Source organism: Homo sapiens, chromosome 7 (genome assembly GCF_000001405.40).
Source record: "Homo sapiens chromosome 7, GRCh38.p14 Primary Assembly".
Classification (NCBI taxonomy): domain Eukaryota; kingdom Metazoa; phylum Chordata; class Mammalia; order Primates; family Hominidae; genus Homo; species Homo sapiens.
Window position 1 is genome coordinate 20,881,693 of NC_000007.14, and position 22,043 is coordinate 20,903,735.

Genomic DNA, 22,043 nt, shown 5'->3' on the forward strand with positions numbered 1-22,043 from the left:
AAATGTGGAGTCTCACTGTGGAGGTGGTAGAATAAACAGGGGTTGGGATGAACATAGATACTATTCCAATCCTTTGTGTGTTCCTTTTCTTCTATCCCAAAACTTCCTAGTGAAGCACTTTTCTAGAAGTCTTCCCTACTCACCTACAAAGTGATGTGGTAAAACAAATTTTCACCTTTTAATCAAGAAAGATATTAGTTAAGACGTGATTTAGCAATTTCCAAGGAATCTCTGATTTTTGCAAAACATATTGGGGAAGGGATCGAATTCTTCAGTGTTTCCTTTGGGATCATGCAATAAAGATGCAGCCTTGCTAATTGGTGAACAAAGCTGATTGGCTGGGATCGCCTTGGAATACTGCATTCAAATTTGGGTAATTCCCCCCAACTTAAGGTTACTGGCTTGTGCAATGTTAGATTGTAAAAACTAAAAGAATAGAGGAAAGACTTAACAATTCATCCCCAAATGCTTTTCTACATATTTTTAATCATATCTATGTGTACTCTAATAAGCAAGATAGACACTCATATAAATTTCTTCTCAGAGCTTCTGGGCAGATACAACCTGCTTTAAGAAAACTATATGTGAAAATCCAAATTTAACCTTGTTTTTTTTTTTTTTAAAACAAGATAACGATCCCCTTGAGAGCCTGTGAGAAACCAAAGGGAAGCTATATCCATTTGCTTAGTTCTGAAGGAGTTTCTATATTTTAAATGTTTAAGGGTCTTCTGAAGGGGGAGCAGTTTGTTTTAGCTAAGGGCCTGCAGCCACAAAGAGATTTGTGAATTTTCTACATACCTACGAAATCTAGCACTTCTTGTAGAGCAGCACTGGTAGTTTTGGGGGCATGATGGTTATGAGAAATTTGAGAATGAGCTAGAAATAGACTTTCTGGGAAAATATGGGCTGAAACGGATTCTCCAGCCCTTGATACTACGTAACAACAGACTCATAGTTGTACTTATTCGATGAAATGAGACAAATCTTAAGAGCACTGGAGGCTGAAAATGTGACTCTCTGTGGGCCATTTTACTTTTCTCTTCACAGGAGTCAATGAAGCAAGTTCATGAGACTCTGAGGCAAGGACACCAAACCAGGGGTTTTAGCTCCTACCCATGGTACTGGTAAGTGATTAAAGAGCTGCAGCTTCACAAGAGACAGCAAGGGCAAGGCTAGGGCCATAAGATTTCCTAAGTCTTGAAAGCAGGGAAAAGGCAGCTTGCCCATGCTTTTACTGGAAACAGCAAAATTCAAAGTCAGGAATTCCAAACTGTCAGAGGAAAAAGTGGATCATGGTTTTGTGGGGCCTGAAGCTTATACAACTTTCAGAATACAGAATAAGGTGTAGTGTAGGGCCCTCCAAGAAATCTGTGTTAAAGAAAGGTCCTGAAGCTTATGATATGATCTATAACGTATCTTTATCCCTCGCTGTGTAAAGCATAACATACGTCACTCTTTTTTCTATTGACACCTTGATATAACATCACTCTTGAGTAGTAGTAATAATAATAATTTGTTGAGCTCTTGTTATGTGCTAAGTTCTATGTTAGAACCTTCCTGCATTAGTTTGCTAGGGCTGTTGTAACCCAGTGCCACAAATTGGGTGGCTTAAAGCAACACAAATTTATTTTCTGAGCTCCGGAGGCTTAAAGACCAAAACGAGTGCATCAACAGAGCCAAATCTCGACCATACCACAAGTTACTTAACACCCCGTAGACCTTAGTTTCTTTCTGTTTTTAATTATTATTATAGTTTAGGTTCTAGGGTACATGTGCACAATGTGCAGGTTTGATACACAGGTATACATGTGCCGTGTTGGTTTGCTGCATCCATCAACTCATCATTTACATTAGGTATTTCTCCTAATGCTATCCCTCCCCCAGCCCCCCACCCCGCAACAGGCCCCAGTGTGTGATGTTCCCCGCCCTGTTTCCAAGTGATCTCATTGTTCAATTCCCACCTATGAGTAAGAACATGCAGTGTTTGGTTTTCTGTCCTTGTGATAGTTTGCTGAGAATGATGATTTCTAGCTGCATCCATGTCCCTGCAAAGGACATGAACTCATCCTTTTTTATGGCTGCATAGTATTCCATGGTGCATACGTGCCATGTTTTCTTAATCCAGTCTATCATTGTTGGACATTCAGGTTGGTTCCAAGTTTTTGCTATTGTGAATAGTGCCACAATAAACATACGTGTGCATGTGTCTTTTTAGTAGCATGATTTATAATCCTTTGGGTATATACCCAGTAATGGGATGGCTGGGTCAAATGGTACTTCTAGTTCTAGATCCCTGAGGAATCACCACACTGACTTCCACAATGGTTGAACTAGTTTACAGTCCCACCAACAGTGTAAAGGTGTTCCTATTTCTCCATATCCTCTCCAGCACCTGTTGTTTCCTGACTTTTTAATGATTGCCATTCTAACTGGTGTGAGATGGTATCTCATTGTGGTTTTGATTTGCATTTCTCTGATGACCAGCGATGATGAGCATTTTTTCATGTGTCTGTTGGCTGCATAGATGTCTTCTTTTGAGAAGTGTCCGTTCATATCCTTTGCCCACTTTTTGATGGGGTTGTTTTTTTCTCGTAAATTTGTTTGGGTTCTTTGTAGATTCTGGATATTAGCCCTTTGTCAGATGGGTAGATTGCAAAAATTTTCTCCCATTCTGTAGGTGGCCTGTTCACCCTGATGGTAGTTTCTTTTCTGTGCAGAAGCTCTTTAATTTAATTAGATCCCATTTTTCTATTTTGGCTTTTGTTGCCACTGCTTTTGGTGTTTCAGTCATGAAGTCCTTGCCCATGCCTATGTCCTGAATGGCATTGCCTAGGTTTTCTTCTAGGATTTTTATGGTTTTAGCTCTAACATTTAAGTCTTTAATGCATATTGAATTAATTTTTGTATAAGATGTGAGGAAGGGGTGCAGTTTCAGCTTTCTACATATTGCTAGCCAGTTTACCCAACATCATTTATTAAATAGGGAATCCTTTCCCCATTTCTCGTTTTTGTCAGCTTTGTCAAAGATCAGATGGTTGTAGATGTGTGGTGTTATTTCTGAGGCCTCTGTTCTGTTCCATTGGTCTATATATCTTTTTTAGTACCAGTAACATGCTGTTTTGGTTACTGTAGCTTTGTAGTATGGTTTGAAGTCAGGTAGCATGATGCCTCCAGTTTTGTTGTTTTTGCTTAGGATTGTCTTGGCAATGCGGGCTCTTTTTTGGTTCCATATGAACTTTAAAGTAGTTTTTTCCAATTCCGTGAAGAAAGTCATTGGTAGCTTGATGGGAATGGCATTGAATCTATAAATTACTTTGGGCAGTATGACCATTTTCACGATATTGATTCTTCCTATCCATGAGCATGGAATATTCTTCCATTTGTTTGTGTCCTCTTTTATTTCATTGAGTAGTGGTTTGTAGTTCTCCTTGAAGAGGTCCTTCACATCCCTTGTAAGTTGGATTCCTAGGTATTTTATTCTCTTTGTAGCAATTGTGAATGGGAGTTCACTCATGATTTGGCTCTCTGTCTGTTAATGGTGTATAGGAATGCTTGTGATTTTTGCACATTGATTTTGTATCCTGAGACTTTGCTAAAGTTGCTTATCAGCTTAAGGAGATTTTGGGCTGAGACGATGGGGTTTTCTAAATATACAATCATGTCATCTGCAAACAGGGACAATTTGACTTCCTCTTTTCCTAATTGAATACCCTTTATTTCTTTCTCTTGCCTGATTGCCGTGGCCAGAACTTCCAACATTATGTTGAATAGGAGTGGTGAGAGAGGGCATCCTTGTCTTGTGCCGGTTTTTAAAGGGAATGCTTCCAGTTTTTGCCCATTCAGTATGATATTGGCTGTGGGTTTGTCATATATAGCTCTTATTATTTTGAGATTCCTTCCATCAATACCTAGTTTATTGAGAGTTTTTAGCATGAAGGGCTGTTGAATTTTGTTGAAGGCCTTTTCTGCATCTATTGAGATAATTATGTGGTTTTTGTTGTTGGTTCTGTTTACGTGATGGATTACGTTTATTGATTTGCATATGTTGAATCAGCCTTGCACCCCAGGGATGAAGCCAACTTGATGGTGGTGGATAAGCTTTTTGATGTGCTGCTGGATTCGGTTTGCCAGTATTTTATTGAGGATTTTTGCATCAATGTTCACCAGGGATACTGGTCTAAAATTCTCTTTTTTTGTTGTGTCTCTGCCAGGCTTTGGTATCAGGATGATCTTGGCCTCATAAAATGAGTTAGGGAGGATTCCCTCTTTTTCTATTGATTGGAATAGTTTCAGAAGGAATGGTACCAGCTCCTCTTTGTACCTCTGGTAGAATTTGGCTGTGAATCCATCTGGTCCTGGACTTTTTTTGGTTGGTAGGCTATTAATTATTGCCTCAATTTCAGAGCCTGTTATTGGTCAATTCAGAGATTCACCTTCTTCCTGGTTTAGTCTTGGGAGGGTGTATGAGTCCAGGAATTTATCCATTTCTTCTAGATTTTCTAATTTATTTTCATATAGGTATTTATAGAATTCTCTGATGGTAATTTGTATTTTTGTGGGATCAGTGGTGATATCCTCTTTATCATTTTTTATTGCATCTATTTGATTCCTCTCTCTTTTCTTCTTTATTAGTCTTGCTAGTGGTCTCTCAATTTTGTTGATCTTTTCAAAAAACCGTCTCCTAGATTCATTGACGTTTTGAAGGATTTTTTGTATCTCTACCTCCTTCAGTTCTGCTCTCATGTTAGTTATTTCTTGCCTTCTGCTAGCTTTTGAATTTGTTTGTTCTTGCTTCTCTAGTTATTTTAATTGTGATGTTAGGGTGTCGATTTTAGATCTTTCCTGCTTTCTCTTGTGGGCGTTTAGTGCTATAAATTTCCCTCTACACACTACTTTAAATGTGTCCCAGAGATTCTGGTACATTGTGTCTTTGTTCTCATTGGTTTCAAAGAACATCTTTGTTTCTGCCTTCATTTCATTATTTACCCAGTAGTCATTCAGGAGTAAGTTTTTCAGTTTCCATGTAGTTGTGCAGTTTTGAGTGAGTTTCTTAATTCTGAGTTCTAATTTGATTGCACTGTGGTCTGACAGACAGTTTGTTGTTATTTCTGTTCTTTTACATTTGCTGAGGAGTGCTTTACTTCCCATTATGTGGCCAATTTTGGAATAAGCGCGATGTGGTGCTAAGAAGAATGTATATTCTGTTGATTTAGGGTGGAGAGTTCTGTAGATGTCTATTAGGTCTGCTTGGTGCAGAGCTGAGTTCAAATCCTGGATATCCTTGTTAACCTTCTGTCCCGTTGATCTGTCTAATATTGACAGTGGGGTGTTAAACTCTCCCATTATTATCGTGTGGCAGTCTAAGTCTCTTCGTAGGTTTCTAAGGACTTGCTTTATGAATCTGAGTGCTTCTATATTGGGTGCATATGTTTTTAGGATAGTTAGCTCTTCTTGTTGAATTGATCCCTTTACCATTATATAATGGCCTTCTTTGTCTCTTTTGATCTTTGTTGGTTTAAAGTCTGTTTTATCAGAGACTAGGATTGCAACCCCTGCTTTTTTTGCTTTCCATTTGCTTGGTAGATCTTCCTCCATCCCTTTATTTTGAACCCATATGCATCTTTGCACGTGAGATGGGTCTCCTGAATATAGCACACTGATGGGTCTTGACTCTTTATCCAATTTGCCAGTGTGTGTCTTTTAATTGGGGCATTTAGCCCATTTACATTTAAGGTTAATATTGTTATGTGTGAATTTGATCCTGTCACTATGATGTTTGCTGATTATTTTGCCTTTTAATTGATGCAGTTTCTTCATAGCATGGATGGTCTTTACAATTTGGCCTGTTTTTGCAGTGGCTGGTACTGGTTGTTTCTTTCCATGTTTAGTGTTTCCTTCAGGAGCTCTTGTAAGACAGGCCTGGTGGTGACAAAATCTCTCAGTATTTGCTTGTCTGTAAAGAATCTTTATTTCTCCTTCACTTATGAAGCTTAGTTTGGCTGGGTATGAAATTCTGGGTTGAAAATTCTTTTCTTTAAGAATGTTGAATATTGGCCCCCACTCTCCTCTGGCCTCTAGGGTTTCTGCCAAGAGATCCACTGTTAGTCTGTTGGGCCTTCCTTTGTGGGTAACTTGACCTTTCTCTCTGGCTGCCCTTAACACTTTTTCCTTCATTTCTACCTTGGTGAATCTGACAATTTTGTGTCTTGGGGTTCTCTTCTCAAGGAGTATCTTTGTGGCGTTCTCTGTATTTCCTGAATTTGAATGTTGCCCTGCCTTGCTATGTTGGAGAAGTTCTCCTGGATAATATCCTGAACAGTGTTTTCCAACTTGGTTCCATTCTCCCCATCACTTTCAGGTACACCAATCAAACATAGATTTGGTCTTTTCACATAGTCCCATGTTTCTCGGAGGCTTTTTTCATTTCTTTTTATTTTTTTTCTCTAACCTTGTTTTCTTGATTTATTTCATTAATTTGATCAGACCTTAGTTTCTTGTTCATAAAATATGGAAATGGGCAGGGGTTCTTAAGGTATTTTGCTATGTCAAGTTATTACTCTAAAATTTTCCCACACTATATTGGGATTTAAAAAATATTGACTACAATTAGCCATAAAAGCAAATAAAAAATTTAGAATAAACACCCAACATCATTCTATTGTGCAAACTGTTTTTTCGTAATAGAAATTTTTGCTTAATAATATTATGTTTTATGTCAATCCACGATGAATGGACATGTCGGGTTTCTATGGCTTTGTCTCCTTTCTCTTCCAAACATGTAGTATAGACCAGGGATTCCCAACCCCTGGCACTGGCACCGGTCTGTGGTTAGGAACCGGGCCACACAACGGGAGGTGAGTGGTGGCAAGTGAGCATTACTGCCTGAGCTCCACCTCCTGTCAGATCAGCAGTGGCATTAGATTCTCACAGGGGCACAAACTCTATTGTGAACTGCACATGTGAGGGATCTAGGTTGTGCACTCCTTATAAGAATCTAATTAATGTCTGATGACCTGATGAACAGTTTCATCCTGAAACTATCCCTCCTCCACCCCCATCTGTGGGAAAATTGTCCATGAAACCAGTCCCTGGTGCCAGAAAGGTTGGGGACCACTGGTATAGATTATCTGTTGAAATATTTCAAATCTAGAAACTCGAATGAAATTGAGGTGGGTTCTCTGATCCACTGGTCCCACCCAGTACCTGGGGTGTGGGCTTTAACCATCACACTATCATGTCCTACCCTCTGAGGGAGGTGCTTGCTTGTGGTATTCTTTGTAGTTAGTATAGAGCTCAGCAAAATGTCACAGAAGAGGTGCAAATCCTTTCATTCACAATGCATGAAGATGTAGGTGGAAAACTGGGAAAGCAGGTTCTCACCCCACAGTGGTGAGAACTTCTGATGAAGACACACCCCCTGGCAGACACTGCATGGTACTGAGAGCACTCACCAATGCCACCACAGTGACAGAACTTAGTCCTGTGTAGACCTCTCAGGTAAGCTCTCCCAGGTAGACCCTCTCAGTAGCCTCTAATCCTCCATAATCATATACTACCTTCTAGCTCCTCTCCATATCAGACTGTGGGAGGACAGGGGATCTGACCTTTTAAAAACAGACAAACCAACTAAACAACATCTAAAACATTCCCAGGACTCCATTATGGTACCTATTCTTATCTCCCTTGTATAAGTAAATGAACAGATGTAAAACTCAATCTCTTAACCTCTGTAAACTGGCATTAATAATTCAGCCTTTTATTGATTATTTTTTTCTGCTGGCCAACAAGCTACCTAGAGCCCTAAAAGGCAATGAATTAAAATATAAAAGATATTGTTGCCCATTCATTTAATAAAGTCTATCCATTTATTCATTTCCCCAATCAAGAAATATTTATTGAATGACCATTTTATGCGAGTCATAATTCTAAGCCCTGGGTATACGATGCAGAGGAGCAAATTGCAAAGAAATATCCCTTGCCTTCAGGGAGCTTGCAGTCTCACTTGTTAAAAACAAGTCTGATTTGACAATGCGTAGTGGAAAGTTAAATTATAATTCATATTTTCCAGCATTTATTTTTATTTGTAGTTTTAGCATTCATTAGATTTTAAAGTTTTATCACACATTTGTCTTTCTATTTTATCTTTAATTTTGTATTTGTGACTGATGGGCATTTTTTAGATTACTGGATCCTTGAGAACAGGAAGTTTTTTCTATTGTACAGGTCTTATTACAACAAATGCTTCTTAATCAGCACTTGTTAATGATTTTGTCATTTAAATTCACACAATTTTAACCTTGGAAGAGGCTTTAGAGATCATCTAATTTAATTTTCTAATTATATAGGTGAGACAATGGAGGCTCTAAGGGGAATAAAGATTTTTTTATAAAATGCTAGAAAGATCTGTAATTATTAACATTGTTGCCAGGTTCACATAGTTAGTTTGGTCAAAATAGACTAGAATCTAATTCTTCTGAATTATTTAATAAAACATTTCACTCAGTAATTATTTATTGAATAAAATGCAGTTTAAAGAGCTTTGATTTCGGACAAATGTCTTAAATTTAATGTTATTTCCTTCCTGCACAATCTTTGCCAATTTCTTCATTTCTCTGAGCCTTAGTTTTGTCACGGGTGAACTGGGGATAAAAATAATACATTCCTTTGAGAATTATTATGAGGATTAAATAGGATAAGATATGTAAAATACTTGGTATAAAATAAACTTAAAACCGACAGTCTCTCATCGTATGGATGGCCTGTTTGCAACATGGCTGCCAAATGTGTATGGAAGTCAGGAAAAGGTGAACAGGACCTGAGGTAAACTCAGCATATTCTCCAGCTCTCTTGGAGACACAACTGGAAACAGTAGTTCCATCTTCAAACTAAGAAAACTCATCTGGTTTTTGCACAATTCACAGGGAGGAGGCAGAGTCTAACTTGATACTACAGGAACTGAAGTGGCTAATTTGAACATTAAAAATAAATATTTAGCTTTTTGTTGTTGCTGTTCTCCAAGAGGGTGAGTTGAGTCCTACTGATTACAGTATGATTATTCCTTAATCTTGCATCGGTGATTTATTCAAGTGCCTTCTGCCATATGTGAGAGATCATATTCCTATCTTACATCTGAGTAAAAAGTAAATGTAAGTAGCGTTACTTAAAACTATGACAGCCGGGCGCGGTGGCTCACGCCTGTAATCCTAGCACTTTGGGAAGCCAAGGCAGGCGGATCACAAGGTCAGGAGATTGAGACCATCCTAGCCAACATGGTGAAACGCCGTCTCTACTAAAAATACAAAAAATTAGCTGGGCGTGGTGCCACACGCCCTGTAGTCCCAGCTACTCCGGAGGCTGAGGCAGCAGAATGGTGTGAACCCAGGAGGCGGAGCTTGCAGTGAGCCGAAATTGTGCCACTGCACTCCAGCCTGGGCGACAGAGCGAGACTTCGTCTCAAAAAACAAAAACAAAAGTATGACAAGATAACATTATCAATTTTTTCTTTTCACTGAAAGCTGTAATTATCTTATACCTTTAATCTCTGTAATTGTTTACTGTCTTTGAAATAAACAGTATTTGGGGAAGAGAAACATAGAAGCCTTTATGTTTAACAGCACCTGATTACCTAGCCTTTTTGGTAGTGGCACTTTGGCTGTGAGGAATAGGAGAGAGAAGTAGCTACTTGCCAAATGAAATAATGACTTTTATTTCATTATCTTTTTCTATACTGGTCACCTAACCACATGACTTTTATTTCATTATCTTTTTCTATACTGATCACCTAACCACAACAATGGCTATTTGTGAGAGGGACGATATTATAAAAATATAAATAAAATCATATATGCCTAAATAAATAGGGTATATTCATGCAATGGGATACAAAACGATCTGAGACCTAGCTACCTATCTGAAATACTAAACAAACTATTAACTTGCATAAATTTCTAAATTAAAATGTTGAGTAAAAAATTTAAGTGACATTATTATTAATATAAAGTTTAAGTGCTACTCTTCCTTAATGAATCCACTTTAGGGAAAATATCTATTTTATTTTTATTTCCTTTTTTTTTTTTTTTTTGAGACGGAGTCTTGCTCAGTCACCCAGGCTGCAGTGCAGTGGAGGGATCTCGGCTCACTGCAAGCTCCGCTTCCCGGGTTCAGGACATTCTCCTGCCTCAGCCTTCCCAGTAGCTGGGACTACAGGCGCCCGCCACCAGGCTGGCTAATTGTTTGTACTTTTAGTAGAGACAGGGTTTCACCGTGTTAGCCAGGATGGTCTCGATCTCCTGACCTCGTGATCCGCCCATCTTGGCCTCCCAAAGTGCTGGGATTACAGGCATGAGCCACTGCGCCCGGCCAGGAAAAATATCTATTTTAAAAACATGGGTGGGAAAGATGTTCAACTTCATGACAGCAATTCCCATGGGGAATGAAGGAAATTATATTAAAGAGAGGGACAAAGGAGGCTTCAATAGACTTTTTTTTTTTGCATTAAAAAATGCAACAAAAGTACTTTAACATGCAATTGAAAGTAGAACTTCCTGTGATAATGAAAATATTCTGTCTCTGTGTTGTCCATTCAGGTAGCCACTAGGCCACAAATAGCTACTGAGCACTTCAAACATGGCTAGTGTGACTGAGAAACTGAATTTTTAATTTTATTTCATTTTAGTTAATTTACATTTTAAATTAATTTAAATTTTAATGTGGCTAGTGGCTACCATATTGGACAGCCTAGTGTTAGACTACAGAGAACATTTTAAACCTTGCGTTTGACTTCAGTTTGGGAAGATCCCATCACATTTTTCTTTCATTATGAATGTGACTATAAATATTTGAAGAAAACTAAACAATCTCTTGATAACATCCTTTAGTATTGCAAAAGGACAACTGAAAGTTATTGAGGTATTGGGGGAGGGTGGAAAAAGAATTACGTTTGTGAAGTGGAATGAGTAGAAAGGTCACTATCCAGTTCCATTGGATATCTATAGAAAAGAAAGAATCAAAAGCACTTCAGGTACTCATGGGGGGTACTTTGGATTTGGTAACAGATTTGATAAGTGAAGACTTAATTTCCCCAGTGACTCAGCTGATACAGGAGGTTTTATCTTTTTCAGAAAATTAAGAGTAAATTGGCTGGCTCTATAGACTTACTGACTCCAGTTAGATAAGTATTTGCTGTGTTTATTAAGTTGTTTATGTAGTATAATAATACAAGTGATTTAATAAAGATAAGACTTCGGATAAATGTCAACACACTTCCCACTCTGCAGCTGGTCCATTTCAAGCAGTTAAATTAAAAGATAAAACACCACTCACAAAAAAATTGATCATTGTCCAAGGGAAACATTTAAAATTGAAAGAAATCTTCCACTTTCAGTACACAAAGCCATATGCATATGTGTAGGAAATGAACCTCTCTGTAATCCAGCAATTGTTTACCTAGAAGGAAAGGACAAGAAGCTATGTTTTGTAGGTGTTTGCTGTAATGAGATACAATTTAAAAGTACTTACGGTTTGTGGACAAGTATTAATGACCAGTGTTATTTATAGCACAAGTAATGGAGATCTTTGAATGATACAAAATAATTACTATTAATTTTGTTATTTATCTGTCTTTATATACATCAGGACATAGCTAGTGAAAGCTTACTAAAAGCTGTAAAATGTAGATGCTATTGCTGAAATTTAAATAACGTAAAGTGGATCTGAATTTTGCCCAACCTTCTCTGTTTACATCATTTTGGGAAAAGAAGTTTTGTTTTTACTTGTAGTTTCTCTAGAACATCATCTAAAATTTAAAAATATAGTAAAAAGGGTGATAATAGAGAAAGAAGATATATCTTCATGGTCTTTAAATCCTTGTTTCATTGGAGTTATCTTCCAGATTAGGGGTGATGAGGCTCCCTTCCTCTGTCCTCACAAAGCACTCAGGGAAAATTTTTACCATTTCATTATGCCCCTCATATATTTTTTCCATCTAAGGAAAAAACTTCTATCACAGTTGTTGGCATATGGAACTTTCTTAAAAGAATATTTACAGTGCAGTTCAGTTTAGAAGTGATAGCCCAGAGGGCCCATGGTCAGTTCTTGGTGAATTCGGAGCAACTGCACTTGCTTACAGGACACCAAGGTTGCTTTCACATAATAGGAAATATTGTATTAGCACATAAAGCATGATGCTAATGATGTCAACTTCTTGGTTTGATCAGAAAAACATTATTTACCACACATGGTTCTGGATTGGTCTTCTGTCTTTGAAAATTGTATGGAATATTCATAAGTGTTGTACAAGCTGTTTTTCAAATGCTTGACACACACTGACATTGGACATTTGCCATTTCAAATGCCTGGGATGAGATGTCGACCTGTTCTATGAACTGAAAAGTTGGCCTTTGTAACCAGGTCTGGTAGACTATTTAATGGCCACACATTTCTCCAATCCTTGTATCCAGGCCCCTGTGCAATATGACTTTGCTGTTCCTTCCATCCAGAAGTGGAGTCTATTTCTTTAGACCTAGATGCCGGGCTAATCATGTGACTTGTTTGACAAAGAGCATGTGCCCGAAGTGATGTTGTGTGAGTTCCGGAGGCTGGGACTTAACAGAATTTTCAGTTTCTGCCTTTGCATTCCTAGAATGCTACCCTGAGACCTCTGTGTGACGAAACTTGTGCTTACTGGAGGATGAAAAGCCATTAGGTGAACTGAGGCTTCCCAGCTGACAGCCAACACCAAATATCAGACAGTTGAGTGAGGCTACCTTGGACCCTGCAGCCCATCTGATCCTCCAGCTGAGTGTAACCACATGAGTGAGCTCAGGCAAAGCCCAGAGAAGACTTTTTGTTTTAAACCACCAAATTTCGTAGTAGTTTGTTATGCAGCAAAGGGTAGCTGAGACACTGAGGGTACAGCTTTTGTTCTGATTCTTAAGTGAGATTTTTGTGATAGCCTATAGAAAAATAAAGAAAAAGGATGCATTGTTAATTTCCAGATTCTTTTGGGTTTTAGAAGGATCTTAATTCCCTGATTTTGAGAGTGACATATAACTTAGTAGGGAATGACAGATGTTTTCATTAGTACAGTGTTTAAATGTAAAAGGTAAATTACATGATTAATGTTCATGCATTATTACTAACTTGTCCATTCTGTTCATGCAAATGCATTTTGTACAACATATTTTTCATGGTAGAAATTAAAATTATTTTCTTCAGGAGTTATGAGAATGAAATCAGCTGATGACTGACAAAAACAGTGGTTGAGATTTCCAGAGATTCTATATACAGGAATGACTCATCCAAATTTACCACACATTGTTCATTGTGTATATTTGTTAACCTCAGGAAAGTAAGTGTCTATGAAATGCTTGAAATAAATATATACCCACACATACTTCTTCTTATTTTACTGTGGTTGTTTTGGTTGTGTTGGTTGTTTCAGATTGCTCTGGGTCTGTAAGCAAAATTTAAAGGTTTTTTTTTTTTTTAAGTAAAAAAAATGTAGAAAAGAAAAAGCTGGAGGAAAGACGAGGAGAAGTAGTAGCAAAAATCATTCCTTAGTGCACTTGCTATAGGACTGCAACCTAAAGAAAGGCTAAAAGTTGACTAGTGAACCTTAAGCAGTTTTAAAATATGCTCACATTAATCAATATTTCTCCAAATATCGTATCAGTACAAAATTTCAACAGCAAGAGTAAGCACCTTTTCACCAAGTTGTAGGCAACTGAAAATGCTTCTCAATAAAACATTTTCCAATCTCAGCTCAGAGAAATAATAATCTTTTAAAAATGTAGTGCTTAGAAGGTTGGAAGAAAGAGCAGAAGATTGCAAAACTAGGCACAAGAAGTCCACCAGCTGTTAGAAAGTTCAAAAAGTCAATAAATGAAGCTAAATACTAGTCTTCTAAAGTCATTTTTCAGGTAAGATAAATAGGGTCTTTTTCACCTTAAATTCTCATTTGACAGTATCCCAGCACATGTCTCGGCTATTAATACACTTGGGTAGCCTCAGGGAGACTTTCAAAAAGTGGGTCTTAAGACACTGATATTCTTGTCTCCAGACTCATGAGTCATTTGGACGCAAGCATTGAATTTAAGAAGTAGTCACTTCCTCACCGTTGAGGCGCTGGTAGAAAACACATGATTATTGTATTGGAGATTCAATAAACATTCTTTCATTTTCAAAGTAGATTCTCACAACACTATTATGAAACCTTTCACTACTGGGTCTTTGGTGGGAAACGAATAACATGTCTTAAATTTGTCCCTAGACCCATGGCTCTGACCATCTCTGCATACCCCTCCCCAAATAAAGACAGTGAGGTACAATAGGGAGCAGCCACAGATGCTGGTCATGAATTTCTTCTAGCTAATAGGAAATAGACTCTGTTAATTTTTTTTTTTTTGACATAAGGTTTTCTGTGGCATTGGAGCTATTTTAATGGGGATTTGTTGCTAGGAGAATTCTACGATCACTTTTTAAAAGATGGATGTCTGATGTTTGCATTTTTAAAAATTACTGAAATGTTCTTCAGTCTTGGTTTAGTTACAGAAGGTTAGCTGAGATTGAGGTAGAGAGCATATTTTTAAAGTATGGAAACCTAATCCTGTGTGTGTGTGTGTGTGTGTGTGTGTTTATGAATACACAGAGTAAGCTTTAAAGAACTGGCTCCTCCATATTAAACATTAAGTAGTTTGTTACAATGATATGCACTATGTATCAACTATATGTAAGGCACTATGCTGAAGGTAGCCAAGGGAGAACAGTCTTGGCTCCTAAGGATCTTTTGATGTAGTGAATTTATGTTATATGTTTTTGTCTTTTACATTAAGTTATTTGGATCCTAACAATAACGCCCCTTATTTGGAGATACATATACTTTTTGAATAGTCTCTAACTATAGAAGCGACTTGGAAACATAGAAATGCTTATATCTGTAACCAGTTCATAGGCAGTTGGTGCTTAGCTTCTTTTGGCACAAAAAAAGAAGTTAGTCTACAAATCAATATTTAATGAAGGAGCAAATAAAATACAATATCCTATTAAAATATTATGTAATTTCTGCATGTTGCTTATAAATGATTTTTCATTTATGGCAGTGTAAGTAAGAGGAGAGCTGTTTTTAAAAATCTTTTGAAGCAAATAAGAGAAAACTATGTCAGGTCTCTAATATTGCCATTAGGAAAAAAAAAACCATTTTGGCTCAGAACTCTGGCATTTTAATCAGTTTTTTATTTCCTATTGTAATGACTCCTGTTTCGTGTCCATGAGTTTTGTGGTAGCTGGTTAAGTGACTCAAGAAATAGTTTTGTGGTAATATAATAGTTTTGTTTCAACTATAATATACAAAATGTGCTAGGCAATGTCCAATTAAATGAAATATACTTCACGGGTGAAAAGACTCATGTAATATCCTAAGGTGCCTTAGTCAGATTTATAACAGCCAATTTATAGGCAGGCATAATATTACCCAATTAGCAACCTTGGCTTTATGAATCAATTGCATTATGTATTTTTAGATTTCAACATCTCTTGTGGTCAATCATCTTTCAACATCGAGTACTCAAATGCAATTTCAAAATGAGGGAGCCAGAATCATTGAATGACATAGATGCTTGGCCAGTTGTTTTATGATGCTGGTTATTGAGAAAGTTAATAGTTCTCTGTTGATAGCAATCATGTATCTCTAACAATACTATCATCAAATTAAATGCTATAGAAGTTAGCTGGTATGCTTAAAATATTATTAGGGAATATATATTATCAGTGAATATATATAATACATATATAAAATAAATATGTATTTTATATTTTAGCTATATAAAAGTAAAATAAAATAAAATTTAATTTTTTATTAATCATCTCATAGTGGGGTTTTCCAAGTATTTATTGTATTTGGTGAAGGAAAGAATGGATTTTATTCAATAGAATGGTGGGGCAGGCCCGCATGTCATTCAGTCCAAAATAATTGTGCACATTTCTTTTTAAAAAAATAAACTACTAAGATGAAAGCTAATATAGAAGGAAGATGCAACAAAGACCTCTATATAGAACAGCTCACTGTCAATTCACCAACAACTGTATCATCTAACATCCACTTACTGAATATTCAGCTTATCTGTTGACTAGTTTGTTTAGAACTCAATCCCTTGTTGAATGGCTTTGTAATTGTTTGAGTTCTCTCTCTCCCTCTCTCTCTTACTGGCTCTTTCTCTTTCCCTCTCTCTCCCTCTTTATAAATTCTTAGAATTAACCAATAAAACACTTAGTTTGTCTTAGGCAATGCTGCTTAATATTATGCCCTTTATAATTGATAGAACCGTTTTGTACACTTTTATTTTGTATGTACATCTATATCTACATATTTATATCTATATAGTACCTATATCTACATAGATATACATATTTATCTACCGTACTTTTCAATATTTTAAGCACTTTTTAAAATCTAAAGACTTATTCTTTTATGTTTGATTTTAAGGGAATTAATTTAAGATGGGCTAAAGATTTGGAGACATTTTCCTAGTAGAGAACTTATAAGAATGCTGGATAAATTTTTTAAAATAATAATTTAAATGCATGGCTTGATTCAATGGAAAGTAAGAAAAGTCCTTGGAGGCTAGGAACAAAGATAAGTTAAGGATGCTAAAAATGGAGCCAGCATTGAAACCAGTCTGCCCTGAGACATCAGTTGATCTCTGCAGGCATGGGAGCTCGGACTACATCTGTAGGAAGACGAGAGGCAATGTCTGAGGACAAAACAATGAGAGTTTGGTTGCAGACTGGTGAAGGAACACCAAAAGGGTGTTCAGAGAGTGACCTGTAACTGTTTCTCCCAGGGAGAGAACGTAGAGATACTTGCCTATATTGATCCTGGCCTTAGGTAAAGAGTTAAAAAGAAAGTGTCCTTTTAGAATTGATTCTCACAAGCCCATCCTCCTAAGGCTTTAGGGCCGGAGTTTATACTATTACACTACTGTGGGGGGGAAAAAGAGATAAAAACTCAGGCTGACTTATAGTTTAAAGGGATTCCAGGCTGAGAGGGTCTGTTTTTCCTGGAAGAGACAAATGCGAATACATTTTGGAGCAACAAAATTTAAATCCAGACCATAATATTTCCCATAAATAAAGTTCCAGGAAATATGAGCTTATAATAATCACAAGCATATAACAAAACAAACCACTATGCATGAGAGTCTGCATTAAAAAACAATAAATAGGCCAGGCGTGGTGGCTCACACCTATAATCCCAGCACTTTGGGAGGCCAAGGCAGGCGGATCACGAGAGGTCAGGAGTTCCAGACCAGCCTGGTCAATATGGTGAAACCCTGTCTGTACTAAAAAAAAAATACAAAAATTAGCCAGGCATGGTGGCGGCCACTGTAGTCCCAGCTACTCAGGAGGCTGAGGCAGGAGAGTCGCTTGAACCCAGGAGGCATAGGTTGCAGTGAGCCGAGATCTCACCATGGCACTCTAGCATGGGCAACAGAGTGAGACTCCGTCTCAAAAAAAAAAAAAATAAATAATAATAATAATAAACAAAAACTATACAAAGAGACCCACAGAAAGTATAGATTTTGGAATTAGCAGAAACAAAAGATTAATACATTAAAAATAATAAAAGACTCTCAAGGTATGATGAAGAAATAAAAGAAAAATAATCAGACACTTTTGAAAAAGAACAAAGTAGAACTTCTAAAAATGAAAACTGCAAAAATTGAGACTAGAAAATAACAGTTGTGTTAAACATCAGATTAGACACAGCAGAAGATAAAATTATTGAACTGAAATCTCAGTCTTAATAAATTACCAAGAGTGATGGGTGAACGAGAGGTTAAGAGACATAGAGGAAAGAGTGGAAGGCTTAATATAGATCTAATCAGAGGTCTACGAGAGAGGAGAGGAAAATGAAGAATAAACAATATTCCAAGAGATAATGACTATGACAATAAGACACACCAATCTTTAAATTTAGAAAGTCTAAACATATCCCAGAAAGATACATAAAAAGAAATCTAACCCTATGTACTGTAAACCCTAATAAAAAACAAAGAATAATATATAAAATACATAAAGAACACTCACAAATTGATCAGAAAAATACAAATTACAAATAGAAAAGTGGCAAAAGAAATAAGTTTTTTATGGAATAGAAAGAGGATTAGCTAATAAACATATAAAAATATACTTAACATTATCAGAAACCAGGAAAATACAAATAAAAGCAACAATGAGATCATTTAACACTCACCAGATTGGAAACATTCTGAACATCGTTTTATTTTGTTTAATTTTTTTTGGTTTGTTTGTTAAGACAGAGTCTTGCTCTGTCACCCAGGCTGGAGTGCAGTGGTGCGATCTGGGCTTACTGCAGCCTCTGCCTCGCAGGTTCAAGTGATTCTCCTGCCTCAGCCTCCCGAGTAGCTGGGACTACAGGCACACACCACCATGCCTGGCTAATTTTTGTATTTTTTTAGTAGAGTCGGGGTTTCACCATGTTGGCCAGGCTGCTCTTGAACTCCTGACCTCAAGTGATCTACCTGCCTTGACCTCCCAAAGTTCTGGGATTACAGGTGTGAGCCACTGTGCCTGGTCTTTTTTTAAATTTATTTTTATTTTTTTGAGACAGGATCTCACTCTGTCCCCCAGGCTGGAGCACAGTGGCATGATCATGCTCACTGCAGCCTCGGCTAATTATTTTTAATTTTTTGTAAAGACCAGGGTCTCCCAAAGTTGCCCAGGATGACCTCAAACTCCTGGGCTCAAGCAGTCCTCCTGCCTTGGCCTCCAAAAGTGTTGAGATTACAGACATGAACCACTGTGCCTGCCTCCAAATATTTTCTAATGTAAAATGCTGGCAGGTGTGTATATGTCTTAGACTGCTTGGGTTGCCATAACAAAATATTTGTATGGCTGCAAGGCTTAAACAGCAGAATTTTTTTTCCTCACAGTTCTGAAGGCTGGAAATCCAAGATCGAGGTGCCAGCATGGACAGTTGCTGGTAAGGCCCCTCTTTCCGGCTTGCAGACAACCACCTTCTTGCCGTGTCCTCACATGGCTCTCTTCTCATAAGGGCACTAACCCCACAGTGAGGTCCCCATCCTCATAAACTCATTTAAACCTAATTACCCCGCAAAGGCTCCATCTCCAAATACCATTGCATTGGGGGCTAGGGCTTCAACATTTGAATTTGGGGTGGTGGGCACACAATTCAGTCCACAGCCATGTGGTAGTGGGAACTATCATGCAATGCTGGTGGAAGTATAAATTGGCATAATCACTTTGGAAAGCTATTTGGCTCATGTGCTGATTATTCTCTACCGTCAGATTCATTCTCTGCCCTGCTTTTTCCTGCTCTAGGCTCTGGAAGGCTGATGCTGAGGACTGCATCAGCTGGACTGCTTTGCTTCTGGTTGGTCTTGGCTAATGGAAAGCAATGGCAGGAGACCAGAGGGCAGAAGAGAGTTTGAAGTATGTTTTTCTTCATCTGGCCATGTCTGTCTTTCTTCACTTACATCTTTTGCTAATGGCCCCTTTCTTCAAAGGTCCAGCTGTCACTGAGTTTCAGCAACAATCTCTGTTTTCTTTGGAATTACCGCCACTAGACCTGAATTACCATCTTCAGGCCTAGCAGTGGTAATTCCTTCCCATATTTTCCCATTAGGTTTATCAACATCTCTTGTAGTTCTTTAACCCTGCCTTTGCCTCTGTTTCCTATCAAGAACCTGCCTGATTGTCCTAGTAAAGGTGAGATATTATGACCCGGCAATTCTACTCCTAGAAAGCCTTGCAGATGTGTACAGGAGTCCTACAGAAATATGTCCATGGCAGCACGATCCATGTTCACGAAAAAAGGGAACTACTTGAATGTACATCCATAATAGGAAGTGACAAGTCATTATCATAAAATAACATAATGGAACACTGGAAAGTGGTAAAAGAATGGGTGAGTCAGCAACAGCTACCCAGAGTGACAAGGATATATTTCATAAAACGTCAAGTGAAAAAAAGTATAAGTGAAAAAAAACATACATAGCATGATTCTAAAACTAAACATCATACTGTTAAGGATTATACACAAAGGTAAGAAACACGTAAGAAAGAGCAAAGGCAGGATAGAGGTTACCTCTGGTTTGAGAGGAAGAAGGCTGAGATCCAGGACATCACAGAGATATCTTCAAGCATCCTGGTAATGCTCTGTGTTTGGCTGGTGGTAGGAACATGGCTGCTGTATTGTTCTTAACTGAACATATACATAATGTATGTTCTTTTTTGGTGTGTGATTTTTTTCTCGAAATGTAAATTAAAATTTAGTAGCTGAAGAATACTCAAAAAGGGGTGGCATTTTAAGTAAAATGGTATATGGTAGGCTAAATAATAACCCATCAAAGATATCCAGGTCCTAATTCTCCAAAACCTGTCACTGTGTTGCCTTAGATAACAAAAGAGACTTGGCTGATGGCCTGGTTTGCTGTGTCCCCACCCAAATCTCATCTTGAATTCTCATGTGTTGTGGGAGGCACCTGGCAGGAGGTAATTAAATCATGGGGACAAGTCTTTCCTGTGCCGTTCTCATGACAGTGAATAAGTCTCATGAAATATAACAGTATTATAAGGTGAAGTTTCCCTGCACAAGCTCACTTTTTGCCTGCTGCCATCCATGTAAGATGTGACTTGCTCCTCTTTGCCTTCCACCATGATTGTGAGGCCTCCCTAGCCATATGGAACTGTAAGTCTGTTAAACCTCTTTTTGTTCCTAGTCTCGGATCTGTCTTTATCAGCAACAGACTAATACAGCTAATTTGATTAAGTTAAAGATTTTGCAACGGGGAGATTATCCTGGATTATCTGGGTGGGTAATCACAGGGGTCCTTATAAATGGGAAGCAGGGGATTAAAGGCAGAAGGAGATGGGATGGTGGGTGCAGAGGCTGAAGTGCTAAGTGTTGAAGAGGGTAGAAGAGGCCATGAGCTAAGGAATGTAGGCAGCCTTTAGCTGGAAAAGCTAAGGAAACAAATTCTCCTCTGGAACCTCCACAAAGAATGCAGCACTACTGATACTTTGAATTTAACCCTCATTTCAGGTTTCTGACTTCCAGAACAGTAAGATAATACATTTGTATTATTGAAACCATTAAGTGTTTGGAAATTTATTACAGCAGCAGTAGAAAACTAAGACATGGTGGTTTGATGACTTGGCTTCAGGAAATTTTGTGTTTTAATGGATCTTAGGGAACAATAAAAAAGAAATGATTTTAAGTGGAGGTCTGTCACTAGTCTGAACCATCAGAAAACAGGGAAAGAAATGTGTACTTGGGTTGAAAATTAAAATCTCTGTTTAGGATGTTGCATTTACAAAGTATAACTGATTCCTCGAACTCATTTGCAGACCAAAGTCTTTCTATCTTGTGCATTCAGAATACATAGCTTGAATTTTAGGACTGTGCCAATGTGACATACATTTAGGTTAACAATCCCAGAGTTAGAACCTAGAATTTACTGCCTAATGACAATGTGTGATTTTTTTTTTCTGAAAATCAAAATGTACTAAATTGTTGACCAGAACTTCAGGCTTAGGTACTTTGGTGCTTGAAAGAGCTGCCCGAAGTAACTGTAGCAAGGGCTAATTGGGAAAGCTTAGCTGACAATTATGGTTTTGCACCTGATTTTTAAAAGTATATACCTATGAGACAGAATATGACAAAAACGCAAAAGTGAATAAAAGGGAAAGAGTTGAAAATACAAGGACTTGCATTTCAGTCTCTGACCCAGGATACTGTCACCCAATAGTTTTAGTTAAGTGTCCCCTTATTTAACCCCTTATGGGTATTATGTCTTTTCTATAAGATATAAGAGAATGGACCACACTAGGACACCTGTCTGAAAAATTCTATACATTAATGCAGAAACATATGTTACACTGTTTTTCCCAGCTGCTGCTCAGGGGGAAGTCACAATATGTAAGCCAGACTGCTGGCTTCACACATCCTCCATTAAGATTCTCAGTGGTGAAGGTTGGTGAGTAAAAAGAAATATCTTTCCCAA

At 37.7% G+C, this 22,043-nt stretch overlaps 1 long non-coding RNA gene across 1 annotated transcript in view; it reads left to right on the plus strand.

Moving 5' to 3' along the window:
- LINC01162 (long intergenic non-protein coding RNA 1162) overlaps positions 1–22,043 on the plus strand; it is a 187,718-nt gene that overhangs the window by 46,262 nt on the left and 119,413 nt on the right. Inside the window, exon 2 of the long non-coding RNA NR_126381.1 lies at positions 1,048–1,124. This is a non-coding gene — a long non-coding RNA (long intergenic non-protein coding RNA 1162). The remainder of the gene's footprint in view (positions 1–1,047; positions 1,125–22,043) is intronic.